Source organism: Homo sapiens, chromosome 8, assembly GCF_000001405.40.
Source record: "Homo sapiens chromosome 8, GRCh38.p14 Primary Assembly".
NCBI classification, from domain to species: domain Eukaryota; kingdom Metazoa; phylum Chordata; class Mammalia; order Primates; family Hominidae; genus Homo; species Homo sapiens.
Genome location: NC_000008.11, coordinates 81,164,812 through 81,184,123, shown reverse-complemented (window position 1 = coordinate 81,184,123; position 19,312 = coordinate 81,164,812).

Sequence of the window (19,312 nt, the reverse complement as noted above, 5' to 3'; positions counted from 1 at the left end):
CTGCTACAAGTGACACTTTGTTCTCTAGTTAAGTAATTGTATTCGTTCAAAATATAATTAAATTTTTTACACACAAATAAAAGCTCAGTTGAAAAAGAAGCCTAAAGCCATACCACTTTAATTCTGTTGTCTCTTTTAAAACTGCATATACCAATTTAGCGAAATGGTTTATGTGTATGTGTCTCTGTGTGTAGAATTTTTAGGAAGTAAGCTTTAAGTCCTAGGTTTCATATATGCACCATTTCCCCCCAGACCTTCAAAAAGATTTGTAGAGAAACACAATTGAAAATAGATCAAGAATTTTATTTATGGTACAACTATTTTCCTGACAGAAGTCAGAAAATTATAAAACAAGATGGTTTTCAGTATATATATTTGAGAACAAGATGAGGAAACAAAATGCTAAAAACATGTACCAGAAATGCTATTTCTGTATAAAAATAATGAAATGTCAGGATCAAGAGGAATCCCATAAATCACTGTTATTAGCTTCTGTTTTAGTTTATTACATGCAGCTATGGATCTGAGACCTTTTTTCCTATTAAATCTACAATTGACTAAATTGACACAATTTCACTCTCTTATAAAAAAAGAGAATCCTATCTAAATTACATGATTTAGTTTTACCCATTATTTGACCTTTCCTTCGCTCATATTTCCTATTTTCAGTTTCAAGCTTTTGAAAGCTGACTTGACATACAAAGTATATTTCTGTGGCAAACAAAATAAATCAATCCCTTCAGAACGCTTTATTGCATTTATATCCCATCTTGTTCCAAAAGATAGAGAGGATTTACAAAATCATGTATAGTAATATGACAATATTTAAAGAGATAAAAGGATAGAAATGAAGAAAATAGTGAGGGAAAGCTTTATAATGTTATTTACTTTAAAAGTAAAGTTGATTAACCACTTAGTTGCTACTGCTCAAGATTATAAACAAGATAACCAATACCAGACAAACATGCTCTACTGATTTTACTTTACTAGGCCATTTCTCTTTGCTTATAGCCCACTCTTACTTGTTTCATGTAAAGTCTTTCTGGAAGAACACCAGGTTAGCATAGTATTAAAGTGAGAGTGGATACTATTTGTTGAGCATCTCCTCTGAACCACCCAAATCATCACTTATTAAATTTGGTCACATTCTAAGCTAAATTCAACTCAACCAGCAGAGATTTGTGCCCTGTTATTTCATGTTTTCCCACACATGTATTTTTTAGGTGCCCTCTGAGTATAAGCTCCTCAAGGGCAAGAACAAGGTATTTCACCCCTTTATATTGCTCACAATCCTAATTCCACCATACTCCCCCCACCATAAAAAAGTTTTATTACAAAAGCGGTCTATGGGACGAGTGATCTTTGCCCATCTTGCCTGTGTGTGTGTGTGTGTGTGTGTGTGTGTGTGCGCGCGCGTGTGTGTGTGTGTGTATTATAGTCTAAACTACTTATTACAGATTCTGAATCCCAATCCCAAAGTCTGTAAATAAAATGTGGCTTTGCAAAAGAGTTTATAGAGGTTCTTACGAGTTCAAGCATGCCCCTTCCAAAATTCACATGTTGAAGTCTTAATCCTCATTACGTCAGACCTTATTTAGAGGTAGGATATTAACAGAGGTAATCCAGGTAAAAATGAAGTCATTCAGGTGCACCCTAATCTAATATGATCAGTGTCCTTATAAGAAGAGGATACTAGGATTCAAACAGGTATAGAGGGAAGATGATGTGAAGATACAGGTAGAAGACAGCCATCTGCAAGCCAAGGGGAGATTTAGAACAGGTGTCTCCCTCATGGCCTTCAGAAAGAACATATCCTGCTGACACCTTGATCTCAAACTTTTAGCCTCCAGAATTGTGAGAAAATTAAATTCTGTTGTTTATGCTACTCTGTTTGTAGGTGCTTTTTGACAGCAACACCAGGAAACTAACACAGAAGGTTTTTTGTTTTTTTTGTTTGTTTTTTTTTTAACTTGCAGCATGTAGGTATTATTTGAGACTGTCTGAACTCATTGAGATAAGAATCATATACATTTTACTCTTCGTTTTTATATATAGCAAACTATTAAGACTATATACACAGTGGGGTCAGATATCAATATTTAGTTCTACTCGTTAATTAATGATGGTAACCTTTCACCAGTTTTGCAAGAGAGTAGTATGTGTTCTGGTCCAGTCTGAATGATAAAATTTATAGTATCCTCATAATTTTACTTGTTTAAAATTCTCATTCCAAGGTCCAATGTCAGACCTAATGAATTAGTTTCTGAGGGTGGGGCCCTGATAACTATATTTGTAAATAAACTTTTTGGATGATTCCTTTATTCATTCAAATTTGAGAACCATGGCCTATTTTGAAAATGCCATCTGCGTTTTCACTAAATATTAGTTCAATTAATTCATTAATTTATTAATAGAGACCTTACCTACTAATCATATGGGAAGAAACTTTAAAAATTATAAAAAGTTAAATATAAAATTATAATAAAAAATCAATGCAGCTTTAAAGGAGATTACATTCACACTGTTAGGAAGACAAGGAAAGCAAGCATTAATACTCAACAAATGAGCCTGAAAACATCACTAATCCATCTGCTTTACATTAAATGTCTCATTAAGATGGACAATTTTAGTGTATGGTTACTGACCCTAGTGGATTTCACCAATTATTTCATAATACTGTAATCCAAGTTACAAGTTCCAGTACATGTATTGACAATGAAATCTAATGGACTGGAAAGAAGAAAAGAATTCATTTTAAAAAATGTATTATTCTCATTATCCAAAAGTCTTCCATCAATTTGATTTGCTAAAAGTCAATAGCTTTATAGAAAAGTCTAAATATTTCTAAGTTCCTGTTTGGTAACAGGAAGAGGTATGCTGTGTAGCCAGCCTCCAAGATGGCACCCAGTGATCGTGACCTCCTGGTTTTCATACCCTTGTGTAGTCCCCTCCCATACTGAATAGACCTGACTAAACTCATTGAGATAAGAATCATGTATATTTTACTCTTTGTTTTTATATATAGCAAACTACTAAGACTATATACACAGTGGGGTCAGATATCAATATCTAGTTCTACTCCTTAATTAATGATGGCACCCTTTGACTAGTTTTCCAAGAGAATAATATGTGTTCTGGTCTAGTATGAATGATAAAATTTATAGTATCCTCAAAATGAACATTTCATTGAGGTTATACCCTGTGCTTATCCATCCAGTCGGATATTGCAAAAATGATGGAGTGGGACTTCTGAGGCTAGGTCATACAAGCTATTGTGGCTTTTCTCCTGGTTTCTCTCTCCTATTACTCTAAAAGACTCCTACTGTCATGCTGCATGGACACTTAAGTAGCCTATGGAAAGATACATATGAAGAGAAACTGCTTTCTGCCAACAGCTGACACAAACTTTCTACACATGTGAGTCAGCCATCTTGGAAGCAAAACTTCAGCCCTGGACAATCCTTCAAATAACTGCAACTTCAGCCGCTATCTTGATTGCAAACTCACGAGATACCCTAAACCAAAATCATGCGGCTAAGCCACTCCTGAATTCCTAATCCACAGAAACAGTGTGATATAGCAAAAGTTTATTTTTGCTTTTAAATATTTTGTTATGTACCAATAGATATAAACTAATACAGATATAAATGCAATAATTCCAAGGATGCTTACATGCTGGAATAGCACTTGATATTATTAATCTACCTCTCCGCAGCCCTTCAAATCCAGGTTTTATTTTCACTTTTCTACCATCTTTTCAGATAGCTCTTTCTCAATCCCTTCTGCTTTCTTTCTCCTTTTATCTCTTATGATTGATCCTTTCCAAGAGATCTGCTTTTTATTCTCTTGGTTCATTCATCCCATATCAAATCATCTTGTCTATGAGGATGGCTTTCAAATCTTTTTTTTCCAGCCCTGAATATCTCTCCTAGGGTACAATATACAAATGGCACTTGAGCGTTTCCACATGGATGCTCAAAGTCAACATAGCTGCAACTGGATTTGTCTTCTTGTCTTTAAAATTGATTGTCCTCTTCTGACTTCCTGTCTATTAGTGGGACTATTCTTCTCCCCAGTGATAAACCATTAAACTCATTGTCCAACTCTTCACTTATTTTCCCTTGGCTTCTTATTGTTAAATTCTGTGAATTTATGCTTCACAATGTCTTTAAAATCCTCTGTTTCCTTTCATTTCTATTACCTGATTTACAACCACTTCCTTGTGAAGTGATCATTACAATAACCCCATGAGGTGATAATAATAGTAACCACTGCATCTACTCTTCTTGACCTCCAACACTAATGAAATAATATTAGTTCATGACCTTCTTCCATCTGTCATGGACACAACTGTCAAATTTACCCTTCTAGACATTACATTCTTCTTCCTTCACTGAGAAACTGTCAATGGCAATTCTTTATCCTTAATTTTACCTTCCCCAACCCCTTCTCCAACTACTGCATTATTTTAATCCTCGTGAACTAAGCTGGAATTTTACTGCCATCGTAACATGACAATCATAGTTCCACCTCCATACTTTTTGTCCGGTTCACTCTCCACTCGTTAATGACCTCCTTAGTCTCTCTACATATTCATAATATTTAAATCCTTGCCATGCTTCACAACCCAACTCAAGTCTGACCTCTCTAATAGATTTTCTTTGTTCTCTCTGGTTCACAAAATATTGCCAGTATATGTATTCAAAAGTATAATAAATAGAAAAGAAATATTAATATGAAATTAAGATATTATCTATACAAGTTCTCTAACCCACTATTATACTTGCTTCTTGTTGCATTCATTTAGCAGTAAATAGTGTGTATCTTTGTACTTTCAACCAGTAAAGACCTAGCTCAACATGAATCAGCTGAAATAGAATGACATTTCTGGAAATCTCTCGAAATCTCATAATTCCATGTGGAATTATGAATGCATGTTTGTCATTAGTAAGCCAGCTCTACCCAAATAGTGCCTACATGATTAGGTCAGCATAAATCTGTTGTGATTTAAAATAGAAAGTGGCACCACCTGCCTTGTTTTCCTTGCCATTGCTCCATATTGTGATCATGCTTAATTGATTAAATGATGCTTTCTATACAACATTTTATTAGTAAGAATGGGAATTACTGTATTTCTCTTAAAACTGAACATGTTTTATATGTCCCAGAAATCTCTTAAATGCTAGTCCTAAGGGTCTAGCCCACAATGGTACTTCTCTAACAGCACCAACATAGCATATTTGCCCAAAGAGCACTACATCTAGCCATTATGATTTATCCAACTCTAAAATACTGACAATAACATTATGAATTTTTTTTCATTTTTATGAGTGTCTCCTCCCTCCATAAATTGCACACCACTGGAAGTCAGAAACGAAATTCAATAATTCATTCAAAAATGTTTTCTGAATATTAGTTCATGAAGGATCCATTAAAAATTTTGAAGCAAGAATGTATGAGGCAGAGTTCTGAGTTGCAAGCAGCAGAAATACTCTGGTCAAATTAAGAAGAAAAGAAAAACGATATATTGAAAAGCTATTGGGTGGCACACAGATTCATCTACAAGTCAGAGAACCAGGCTCAGAAAATAGCCAGGAACAAAGGGCAGCTGGTTCATGATATAAAACTGGTTGGGCAAGAGACTGAAGCTCTATATCTGACCTCTGGGCACTGGAACTACCACCACTGCTACCTACAGCACTGGACCCTGGAAGCCACTCCTGACACTATTACCTTGGAGACTGGATATTGCTGCCACTTTTGCTTTGGATTCTAATTCTATAGCAGGCATGTCTGATTGGGCTAGCACAGGTTATGCACCTCAGCTGCAAAAGGCTGAGAAAACAGTGACAATTCTTTTTACCTTCAAAAACAAGAGGCAAAATAGGTCAACCAGGGAATGAGGTTCAGATGCTAGACAACAAAAATAACTTTATAAAAAAAGGTATATATTTACTACAATGTATTATGATCATTTTGCACTTTAGAAAGATCACTATGATACCAATATTGAGAATAATTACAGAGGCAAAATTGGAGTTTTAGTTTGAAGCTGCATGCAAGACACTATGAAGCTAAGGGGATGGAGAGGAAATAACAGATTCGATAGAATGTGTAATCACAGAATTGACAGAATCTGAAGATAATTTCACTTGGTAAGTAAAGGAGGATTGTCAATAATTGCTGTTAGATTTCTGGCCAGGGAGACTATGTGAATTTAAACAGAAAATTTAGCAAATCAGTTAGGGGCATGTTGAGTATAAAGTGTCTGTGGCCATTTAAATGTGGCCATAAAATCTTTGCAGTTTTTCTTTGCAAAACTGCAAAAAAAAAATAGATTCTTGATATAATTTGGATATTTATCCCCGCCCAAACCCAGTGTTGGAGGTGGGACCTAGTGGGAAGCATTTAGATCTTAGGGGAGGATCCCTTATGGCTTGGTGCTGTTCTCACAATATTGAGTGAGTTCTCATGAGATCTGGTTGTTTAAAACACCTCCCACCCCCTCTCACTCCTGCTCTGGCCATGTGATGTGCCTGCTTCCACTTCACACTCCACCACAAATAAAAGCTCCCCAAGGCCTTCCCAGAAGCTGAGCAGATGTTGGCACCATGCTTGTACAGCCTGAAAAACCATGAAGCAAGAAAACTTCTTTCCTGTATAAATTACCCAGCCTCAGGCATTCCTTTACAGCAATGAAAGAATGGCCTAGAACAGAAAATTGGTACTGAGGAGTGAGGCATTACTATAAAGATAACTGAAAATGTGGAAGCAGCTTTGGAACTGGGTAACAGGGAGAGGTTGAAAGAGTTTGGAAGACTCAGAAGAAGACAAGAAGGTGAGGGAAAGTTTGGAATTTCTTGGAGACTGGTTAAATGGTTATGACCAAAATGCTGATAGTGACATAGACAGTGAAGGCCAGGCTGCCAAGGCCTCAGATGGAAAAGAGGAATTTATTGGGAACAGGAGCAAAGATCACCCATGCTATGCATTAGCAAAGAGCTTTGCTGTATTCTGCCCATGTCCAAGAGATATGTGGAAGTTTAAACTTAAGAGTGATGACTTAGGGTACCTGATGGAAAAAATTTCTAAGCAGAAGTGTTCAAGATGTGGCCTGGGTCCTTCTAACAACCTGTGCTCACATGTGGGAGCAAAGAAATGACTTAAAGTTGGAATTTATATTTAAACAGGAAACAGAGCACAAAAGTTTGGAAAATTTGTAGCCTGGCTATGTAACAGAGAAAGAAAAATCTTTTTCAGGAAAGGAATTCAAGCAGGCTGTGGAGCAACCACTTGCTAGAGAGATTTGCCTAAGAAGGAGCTCAGTGCTGATAGCTGAGACAATGTGGAAAAGGCCTCAAAGGTGTTTCATAGATCTCTGAGGCAGCCCCTCACATCACAGGCTCTGAAGCCTAGAAGGACTGAGTGGTTTTGTGGGCCAGGCCCACGGCCTCTTTCCTTGTGCAGCCTCCAGATACTACTCCCCACATCCTGGCTGCTCTGGCTCCAGTCTTGGCTCAAAGGGGCACAGATACAGCTGGGGCTGCTGCTTCAGAGGTGCAAGCCATAAGCCTTGAGGCTCCCATGTGATCTTAAGCCTGTAAGTGCACAAAGTCCAAGAGTAAAGGAAGCTCTGTAGCCTCCACCTAGATTTAAGAGGATGTATGAGAAAGCCTGGGTGCCCAGGCAGAAGCCTGCTGTGGGGACAGAGACCTCACAAAGAACATTTACTAGGGCAGTGTAGAGGGGAAATGTGGAGTTGGAGGCCCGTGGAGTCCCCATGGGGCACTGCCTTGTGGAGCCACCATCCTTCAGACCCCAGTAGATCCATGGCATCTGGCACCTTGCACCTGAAAAAGCCACAGGCACTCAACTCCAACATATGAGAGCAGCCAAGAGGGCTGCACCCAACAAAGCCACTGAGGCAGAGCTGCCCAAGGCCTTGGCAGCCAACCCCTTGCACCAGTGTGCCCTGGTTTTTGGACATGGAGTCAAAGGAGAGTATTTGGAGCTGTAAGATTTTGACTGCCCTGCTGCGTTTTGAACTTGTACGGAGACTATAGCCCCTTTCTTTTAGTTGATTTCTCTATTTTGGAGTGGGAATGCTTACCTAATACCTATACTCACATTGTATCTTATAAGTATATAATTTGATTTATATTTTACAGGCTCATGGGTGGAAGGGGCTTGCCTTTTCTCAGGTGAGACTTTGGGCTTTTTGGCCTTTTGAGTTAATATTGGAATGAGTTAAGATTTGGGGGGATTATTGGGAAGGCATGACTGTATTTTGCAATGTGAGAAGGACATGAGATTTGTGGGGGCCAGGAAAGGAATTATACGGTTTGGATATCTGTCTCTGCCCAAATCTCAAGTTGAGATGTAATCTCCAGTGTTGGGGTGGGACCTGGTGGGAGATGTTTAGGTCTCGGCAGAAGATTCCTCATGGCTTGGTGCTGTCTTTGCACTAATGAATGAGTTCTCAAGGGATCTGCTTGTTTAAAAGTGTGTCACCTCCCCATCCCCTTGCTCCTGCTCTGGCCATGTGATATGCCTACATGCCTGCTCCTGCTTCACCTTCTGCCATGAGTAAAAGCTCCCTGAGGCCTCCCCAGAAGCTGAGCAGATGCCAGCATCATGCTTGTACAGCCTGCAAAACCATAAGCCAATTAAATCTCTTTTCTTTATAAATCACCCAGCCTCAGGTATCCCTTTATAGCAAACAAGAATGGCCTAACACATATCTGCTTCCCCACTCCATGAAATATAGCAGGTCTCATGGTAGAAGTGATATGTGACTGGCAAGTCTCAGCCACAAGTGGTTTTGCAGTTTTCACTCTCATCCTCTTTGAACATTGTGATCACCAAATGAAGAATTCCAAGTTATCCTGGACAAGAGACCACATAGACAAAAAGAGGCTCAGCCATTCCAGCCTTCTGAGCTGAGGACTGAGATATGAAACCCACTAACTTCCTATAGCCACCTGAGTGACCCCAGGCAAGACACGCAAAAGAACCACCCAACCAAATTGCAGAATCATGATCAAGGAAATAATTGTTGAAGACACTGCATTTTGAAATTGCTTATTGTACAGCAATAGAGAAATCATGTATTGCTGATAGAATGTCCTGGAGGAGATGCCCATTTGGAGTTAGAAATGAGTCTGGAGCAAATGCGAGATAATATGACCATCACAATGTCATGCACTGCCTGAGATTATCCCATATAAGGGCATATTGTTTTAGTCATAGGCAAAGGTGATAATTTAAATCAACACCTAAGACATTAATAGAAAAAAGAAATTAGTGAAGGACATTGTAAAGGAGCTTCCAGTGATGAATCAAGCAAATCTATTCAACAACTAGGAAGTCATGGATGACCTTGGTCAAAACTAGGTAGTGTTCTTTTGAGAACTGGTGTAAATCCCAGATAACATGAATTGAGATGGGTTTAGAAGGTAAAGAAAATGAAACAGTAAGTCATAATATCTTTTTGAAAATATTTTTATATGACTAAAAGCAAAAGAGAGGGTAGAAGTTAGAGGGGTATTTTTCAAAAGATGAAAAACATATCAGCATGTTTACAAAGTGGCATGAAACTTAAAAGAGATGATGTAAGTTTCCTGAAGAAACAGTAGGGGAAGAAATTAGGCATGAGGGTAAAGGGACCAGCATTTTTCAGGAAGAAGAGTTGCACCTTTACTGACCTTGGAATAAAAAATAGAAGGACAAGTACCAGAATAGCTGATTTGGTGGGGATGGGCTAATATTTGGGAATGGGAAGCCTCAATCTACAGTAAACTAGTTGCCAGGTAGGAGCAGGAGAGGGAAGTAATTTTTGCCTAAGCTCATCCATTTTCTCTGTAAAGTTAGAGACCGTTTATCTTCTAAATGTAGGAATATATGAAAAGCTAGGAGATCCAAGGAGAGTGGCAAATATTTGAACAGAGAATAAGATAGAGTGTCTGTAATAGTTAGAATATGGCCACAAATTCTGTATCAGCCTAGTTTCAATTTTTCTTGTGATTCAGTACAATGAATTCTTATTTCTCCCCAGGTTGTGGAAATAGACAGTCACTGATTTTTTGTGTTTTGTTGTGGTTGTTGTTTTAACAATAAAAGGCCTTTCTTTTCTTCCACTGCCAAAAAAATTGACCACTTCCTGCAAAGATAGCTAGTCTGTGTGATTCCCCATTTAACTCCACCTTCTCTTCTTTTGTATTGACTCTCCCTCTTCTGTTTTCCTTTTTCAAAAAGGGAATAGATCCTTCATCCTCATTCTCTAGGTCATGCTTTCCAGTAAAGTACTTGCACAAAAAACCTTTATTGCAGGTCTAGCAACCTCATGTTATTATTTGGTTGCCCCATTTTCATTATGGCTGAGTTTAGGTTTGGCATCTCAGATATTCCCCCAGCTTTGAGTAATTTATTTTGCTGTCTGAGATCTGCCGCCATTGAGTTCTTTCTGCACAGTATTAATTACATGCCTCTTCCTCTAATCTCTATGCTTTTGGTGGTTTTCCCACTTTTGTAGAGTCTGGAGTTTTAGCTGTCTCCTAGTTTCACTAAAAATGGCACCAGAAATAGAGTTTGAGGTGTTTTCTGTTTTCTTTCCCCTTATACTGCTTGTTTGCTTTTTGAATAATTTTCAAGAAGAGAAGAGAAATGCTCATTTAATGCCACTGTGTTCCAAACGGAAATCTTAAGTTTTTCTGTAAGCAATGGTGAATCTCCTCATTAATGCCATCAATATATACATACATACATAACATACATACATGCATACATATATATATTTCAACTTTTATCTATATCTATCTATCTATCATCTAACTATATACATAGATATATAGATATTTTCATTTAGGTTCAGGAGGTACATGTACAGGTTTGTTACATCGGTATATTGCATGATGCTGAGGTCTGGGGTGTGATTGATCCCATCACCCAGGTACTGAGCACGGTATCCAATAGGTAATTTTTCAGCACTTGCCCCCTTCCAATTCTCCCCTCTCTAATAGTCCCCGGTGTCTATTGATCCCATCTTTGTGTCCATGTGTACCAAATGCTTAGCTCCCACTTATCAGTGAGTACATATATTTGGTTTTCTGTTCCTGTGTTAATTCACTTAGGATAATGACCTCAAGCTGTATCCACGTTACTGCAAAGAACATGATTTCATTCTTTTTTACTGCTTTTTAGTATTCCATGGCATATATGTACCACATTTTCTTTATCTGATCCACCATTGATGGACATCCAGGTTGGTTCCATGTCTTTGCTATTGTGAATAATGCTGGATGAACATATGAGTGCATATCTTTTTGGTAGATTGACTTATTTTCCTTTGGGTGTATACCCAGTAATGTGAATGCTGGGTTGAATGGTATTTCTATTTTAAGTTATTTGAGAAATCTCCAAACTGCTTTCCACAGTGGCTGAACTAATTTACATTCCCACCAACAGTGTATAAGCATTCCCTTTTCTCTGCAGCCTTGCCAACATTTATATTTTTTTTTTACTTTTTTTTTTTTTTTTTTTTTTTTTTTGAGGCAGGGTCTCATTCCAACGCCCAGGCTGGAGTACAGTAGCACAATCACAGCTCACTGCAGCTTGACTTCCTGGGCTGAGGTGATTCTCCCACCACAGCCTCCCAAGTAGCTGGAACTGCAAGCCCATGCCACCACACCCAGCTAATTTTTTTTGTATTTTTTTGTAGAGATGGGGGTTTCATCATGTTGCTCATGCTGGTCTCAAATTTCTGGGCTCAAGTGATCGTCCTGCCTTGGCCTCCCAAAGTGCTGGGGTTACAGTTTTGAGCCTGGCTGACTTTTAAATAATAGCCATTATGACTGGTATGAGATGGTATTGATGGCAGCGGCCCGTCTGGAGTGGCTGCTGTGTAGACGCCAGCTGCAGCAGGGGAGGTGCGACCAGAACTGTGGGCTCCATGGAGCCAGCGGCAGCTGGGAACAGGCGGGAGCTCTGCCTCCTTCTGAGTTGGCAGGGCGGGAGCCCTGTGCTCCCAGGCACAGCTGCAGCCACCCAGCTGCGGCCCCGAACCCAGGCATCCCTGTGCTCTCGGGGGCCCAAGAAAGCCCCCCACCCCCAAAGGCTCATGCCTGCTCCCGTCCCTGGTCTCTCTCTGCTCCCAGCACCCACTCTGATTTCACAGCAAAGCTGAGGCTAGGCCGGGTGCTGTTGTGACCCAGCTCAGTGTGTGCATGCGTGGGGTGGTGCAACATGCCAGCCCCCTGCTGCCTTGGCCCCCTCTGGACTTTGGGCACCTAGGAACCCGGAAGGGAGGCCAAGGGGCGCTGAGGGAGACTTGTCGCAGGCCGGCAGGCACCCCTTGGCACAAACAGCCTCGGTGCCATGGAAGGCATGATTGATGGCGGCAGGAGGCAGACAAGCCCCTAGGTGGAAAGGGGCGGGTCCCTGGTGAAGCCCCACCTTCAAGCCAGGATGCCCTGAAGCCTGGGGGCCTGGCTGTCAGTTCATGGTGGAATCCACAGCCCAGAGTGAAAACACATGGTGCTTTTTCTGGGCCCGCCCATGGCCACCCATGGCCACCCATGAACCAATCAGCATGCACTTTCTCTCTTACGAGCCCATAACACCCCCCAACCCCCACTCAGCTGGACTCACCTACTGATTTGAGGTGACATCTTTCCTATGTGCTAAATTCCCTTTTTTATGTTAGACCTACTTCTGAATTTCCTATTTAATTCCATTGATGTCTTTTTATTCAGGTGCTACATTATTTTTATTTATTATCTTTATTTTTTATTTATTATACTTTAAGTTCTGGGATACAAGTGCAGAACATGCAGGTTTGTTACATAGGTATACATGTGCCATGGTGGTTGACTGCACCCATCAACCTATCATCTACATTAGATATTTCTCCTAATGCTATCCCTCCCCTTGCCCCCCACTCCCTGACAGGCCCCAGTGTGTGATGTTCCCCTCCCTGTGTCCATGTGTTCTCATTGTTCAACTCCCACCTATGAGTGAGAACATGCAGTGTTTGATTTTCTGTTCCTGTGTTGGTTTGCTGAGGATGATAGTTTCCAGTTCCATCCATGTCCCTGCAAAGGACAGGAACTCATTCTTTTTTATGGCTGCATAGTATTCCATGGTGAATATATGCCACATTTTCTTTATCCAGTCTATCATTGATGGGCATTTGGGATGGTTCCAAGTCTTTGCTATTGTAAATAGTGCCGCAGTAAACATACATGTGCATGTATCTTTATAGTAGAATGATTTATAATCCTTTGGGTATATACCCAGTAATGGGATTGCTGGGTCAAATGGTATTTCTGGTTCTAGATCCTTGAGGAATCACCACACTGTCTTCCAGAATTGTTGAACTAATTTACACTCCCACCAATAGTGTAAAAGCGTTCCTATTTCTCCACATCCTCTCCAGCACCTGTTGTTTCCTGACTTTTAAATGATCACCATTCTAACTGGTGTGAAATGGTATCCCATTGTGGTTTTGATTTGCATTTCTCTAATGACCTGTGATGATGAGCTTTTTTTCATGTTTCTTGGCCACATAAATGTCTTCTTTTGAGAAGTATCTGTTCATGTCTTTCGCTCACTTGCTGATGGGTTGTTTGTTTTTTTCTTGTAAATTTGTTCAAGTTCCCTGTAGATTCTGGATATTAGCCCTTTGTCAGATGGATAGATTGCAAAAATTTTCTCCCATTCTGTAGGTTGCCTGTTCACTCTGATGGTAGTTTCTTTTGCTGTGCAGAAGCTCTTTAGTTTAATTAGAACCCATTTGTCAATTTTGGCTTTTCTTGCCATTGCTTTTGGTGTTTTAGACATGAAGTCCTTGCCCATGCCTATGTTCTGAATGGTATTGCCTAGGTTTTCTTCTAGGGTTTTTATGGTTTTAGGTCTTATGTTTAAGTCTTCAATCCATCTTGAGTTAATTTTTGTATAAGGTGTAAACAAGGGGTCCAGTTTCAGTTTTCTGCATATGGCTAGCCAGTTTTCCCAACACCATTTATTAAATAGGGAATCCTTTCCCCATTTCTTGTTTTTGTCAGGTTTGTCAAAGATCAGATGGTTGTAGATGTGTGGTGTTATTTCTGAGGACTCTGTTCTGTTTCATTGGTCGATATGTCTGTTTTAGTACCAGTACTATGCTGTTTTGGTTACCGTAGCCTTGTAGTATAGTTTGAAGTCAGGTAGCATGATGTCTCCAACTTTGTTGTTTTTGCTTAGGATTGTCTTGGCTATACAGGCTGTTTTTTTTGGTTCCATATAAAATTTAAAGTTGTTTTTTCTAATTCTGTGAAGAAAGTCAATGGTAGCTTGGTGGGAATAGCATTTAATCTATAAATTACTTTGGGCCGTATGGCCGTTTTCACGAAATTGATTCTTCCTATCCGTGAGCATGGAATGTTTTTCCATTTGTTTGTGTCCTCTCTTATTTCCTTGAGCAGTAGTTTGTAGTTCTCCTTGAAGAGGTCCTTCACATCCCTTCTAAGTTGGATTCCTAGGTATTTTATTCTCTTTGTAGCAATTGTGAATGGGAGTTCACTCATGATTTAGCTCTCTGTTTGTCTGTTGTATAGGAATTGGTGTATAGGAATGCTTGTGATTTTTGCACATTCATTTTGTATCCTGAGACTTTGCTGACGTTGCTTATCAGCTTAAGGAGTTTTTGGGCTGAGACAATATTTTCTAAATATACAATCATGTCATCTGCAAACAGAGACAATTTGACTTCCTCTCTTCCTATTTGAACGCTCTTTATTTCTTTCTCTTGGCTGATTGCCCTGGCCAGAACTTCCAATACTATGTTGAATAGGAGAGGTGAGAGAGGGCATCCTTGTCCTGTGCCGGTTTGCAAAGGAAATGCTTCCAGCTTTTGCGCATTCAGTATGATATTGGCTGTGGGTTTGTCATAAATAGCTCTTATTATTTTGAGATACATTCCATTAATAACTAGTTTATTGAGTGTTTTTAGCACAAAGGGGAGTTGAATTTTATCGAAGGCCTTTTCGGCATCTATTGAGATAATCATGTGGGTTTTTTCATTGGTTCTGTTTATGCGATGGATTACATTTATTGATTTGCATATGTTGAACCAGTCTTGCATCCCAGGGATGAAGCTAGCTTGATCGTGGTTGATAAGCTTTTTGATGTGCTGCTGGATTCAATTTGCCAGTATTTTATTGAGGAGAGGATTTTCACATTGATGTTCATGAGGGATATTGGCCTAAAATTTCCTTTTTTTTTTTTTTTTTTTTTTGTGATGGAGTCTTGCTTCGTCACCCAGACTGGAGTGCAGTGGTGCAATCTCAGCTCACTGCAACCTCTGCCTCCCGGGTTCAAGTGATTCTCCTGCCTCAGCCTCCTGAGTAGCTGGGACTACAGGCGTGTGCCACCACATCCAGCCAATTTTTGGTATTTTTAGTAGAGACGGGGTTTCACCGTGTTAGCCAGGATGGTCTTGATCTCCTGACCTCTTGATCTGCCCACCTGGGACTAAAATTTCCTTTTTTTTGTTGTGTCTCTGCCAGGTTTTGGTATCAGGATGATGCTGGCCTCATAAAATGAGTTAGGGAGGAGTTCCTCTTTTTCTATTGTTTGGAATAGTTTCAGAAGGAATGGTACCAGCTTCTCTTTGTACCTCTGGTAGAATTCGACTGTGAATCTGTCTGGTCCTGAGCTTTTTTGTTGGTAGTCTATTAATTACTGTCTCAATTTCAGAACTTGTTACTGGTCTATTCAGGGATTCAACTTCTTCCTGGTTTAGTCTTGGGAGGGTGTATGTGTCCAGGAATTTATCCATTTCTTCTAGATTTTCCAGTTTATCAGCGTAGAGGTGTTTATAGTATTCTCTGATGGTAGTTTGTATTTCTGTGGAATCAGTGGTGATATCCCCTTTATCATTTGTTATTGTGTCTATTTGATTCTTCTCTCTTTTCTTCTTTATTACTCTGGCTAGCCAACTATCTATTTTGTTAATCTTTTCAAAAAATCAGCTCCTGGATTCATTGATTTTTTGAAGGGTTTTTCATGTCTCTGTCTCCTTCAGTTTTGCTCTGATCTTGTCTTAGTTATTATTTCTTGTCTTCTGCTAGCTTTTGAATTTGTTTGCTCTTGCTTCTCTACTTCTTCTTATTGCAATGTTAGCATGTTGATTTTAGATCTTCCCCACTTTCTCATGTGGGCATTTAGTGCTATAAATCTCCCTCTAAACACTGCTTTAGCTGTTTCCCAGAGATTCTGGTACGTTGTGTCTTTGTTCTCATTGGTTTCAAAGAACTTATTAATATTTTTAGGTGTAAATTTGATCCTGCTATAATGCTAGCTGGTTACGGTTATTTTGCACATTAGTTTATGCAGTTTCTTCATAGTGTCAATGGTCTTTACATTTTGGTATGTTTTTGCAGTGGCTGGTACCGGTTTTTCCTTTCCATATTTGGTGCTTCCTTCAAGAGCTCTTGTAAGGCAGGCCTGGTGGTGACAAAAATCCCTCAGCATTTGCTTGTCTGTAAAGGATTTTATTTCTCCTTCGCTTATGAAGCTTAGTTTGGCTGGCTATGAAGTTCTGGGCTGAAAATTATTTACTTTAAGAATGTTATATTTTGGCCTAGCCCCCACTCTCTTCTGGCTTGTAGGGTTTCTGCAGAGAGATCTGCTGTTAGTCTGATGGGCTTCCATTTGTGGTTTACCTTACCTTTCTCTCTGGCTGTTGTTAATATTTTTTCCTTCATTTCAACCTTGGTGAATCTGATGATTATGTGTCTTGGGGTTTCTCTTCTCGAGGAGTATCTTTGTGGTGTTCTCTGTGTTTCCTGAATTTGAATGTTGGCCTGTCTTGCTAGGCTGGGGAAGTTCTCCTGCATAATATCCTGAAGTATGTTTTCCAACCTGGCTCTATTCTCTCCATCACTTTCAGGTACACCAATCAAATGTAGGTTTGGTCTTTTCACATTGTCCCATATTTCTGGAGGCTTTGTTCGTTCCGTTTCTTTCTTTTTTCTCTAATCTTGTCTTCATGCTTTATTTCATTAAGTTGATCTTCAGTCTCTGATATCCTTTCTTCTGTTTGATCAATTCAGCTACTGATACTTGTGTATGCTTCATGAAGTTCTCATGCTGTGTTTTTCAGCTCCATCAGGTCATTTACATTCTTCTCTAAACTGGCTATTCTACTTAGCAGTTCCTGTAACCTTTGATAAAGTTTCTTAGCTTCCTTGCATTGGATTAGAACACGCTCCTTTAGCTCAGAGGAGTTTGTAATTACCCATCTTCTGAAGCCTACTTCTGTCAATTCATCAAACTCATTCTCCATCCAGTTTTGTTCCCTTGCTGGCAAGGAGTTGTGATCCTTTGGAGGAGAAGAAGCATTCTGGTTTATGGAATTTTCAGCCTTTTTGCGTTGGTTTTTCCTCATCTTCGTGGATTTATCTACCTTTGATCTTTGATGTTGATGACCTTTGGATAGGGTTTTTTCATGGGCATCCTTTTTGTTGATGTTGATGTTATTGCTTTCTGTTTGTTAGTTTTCCATCTAACAGTCAGGACCCTCTTCTGCAAGTCTGCTGGAGTTTGCTGGGGGTCCACTCCAAACCCTGTTTGCCTGGGTATCACCAGCAGAAGCTGTAGAACAGCAAAGATTGCTGCCTGTTCCTTCCTCTGGAAGCTTTGTCCCAGAGGGACACCTGCCAGATGCTAGCCGGAGCTCTCCTGTATGAGGTGTCTGTCGACCCCTGCTGGGAGGTATCTCCCAGTCAAGAGGCACGGGGTTCAGGGACCCAGTTGAGGAGGCAGTCTGTACCTTAGCAGAGCTCAAGCACTGTGCTGGGAGATCGGCTGCTCTCTTCAGAGCCTGCAGGTAGGAACGTTTAAGTCTGCTGAAGCTGTGCCCACAGCCACTCCTTCCCCCAGGTGCCCTCTCCCAGGGAAATGGGAGTTTTTATCTATAAGCCCCTGACTGGGGCTGCTGCCTTTCTTTCAGGGATGCCCTTCCCAGAAAGGAGGAATCTAGAGATGTGGTCTGGCTACAGCAGCTTTGCTGCACTGCGATGGGATTCGTCCCATTTGAACTTCCCTCTGGCATTTTTTTTAACACCGTGAGGGGAAAACCGCCTATTCAAGTCCCAGTAATGCCGGATGCCCCTACCCCCCAGCAAGCTGGAGCATCCCAGGTGGATTTCAGACTGCTGTGCTGGCAGCGAGAATTTCACGTCAGTGGATCTTAGCTTGCTGGGCTCCGTGGGTGTAGGATCTGCTGAGCAAGACCACTTGGCTCCCTGGCTTCAGCCCCCCTTTCCAGGGGAGTGAATGGTTCTGTCCATTCTGGCTCTGCTTGGCTTTCCAGCCTCCTGCAGCTAGCTCAGTGTCTGCCCTAACAACCACCCAGTTTTGTGCTTGAAACTCAGGACCCTGGTGGTGTAGGCAGCCAGGGGAATCTCCTGGTCTGCGGGTTGCGAAGACTGTGGGAAAAGCATAGTATTTGAGCCGGATTGCACCGTCCCTCAAGGCACATTCCCTCACTGCTTCCCTTGGCTGGGAAGGGAGTTCCCCAACCTCTTGTGCTTCCTGGGTGAGGTGACCACCCCCACCCCCCACCGCCTGACCCGCTTTGGCTTGCCCTCCATGGGCTGCACCCACTGTATTACCAGTCCCAATGAGATGAGCCAGGTACCCCAGTTGTAAATGCAGAAATCACTCACCTTCTGTGTTGTTCTCACTGGGAGCTGCAGACCAGAGCTGTTCCTATTTGGCCAGCTTGCCAGATCTCACACATTATTTTTATTATTGAAGATTTAAAATGTGTTTAAATGTGTGAAAGAACTAGTTCTCTTTATGATCACTTTTCCAGATTTTTCTTGACTATTTTTGTTTTTTATTTTTTCATTTGAACTTTAGTATTAGCTTGTCTCTGATTACAAAATAAAAATGCTGTTGCTATTTTTATTGAATTAAATTTTTGTGATGTTGACTTTTCCTATCTAAGAAATTATATGCTTTCCCATTTATTCATTTTATTTTGTGTTTTTTGGTAGCATCTTAAAATGTTCTTTATATAAATCATGCCCATCTCTCATACTTATTCCTAAGCGTTTTATCTTTTTTGTTGAATTGTAAATAGAGTCTTTTCTTCTCTTTTATCATATATATATAATTCACTTCTGTAGATTGCATACCCACAAACTTACTAAGTTCTCTGATTTTGGTTGGTTTCTTTGATTTTTTGTCATGAAATTGGACCTACATCTATATTGAATCTTAGCTTTGCTAGATTTAATATGCCTTGAAGTCAAGAGCTACACCAATC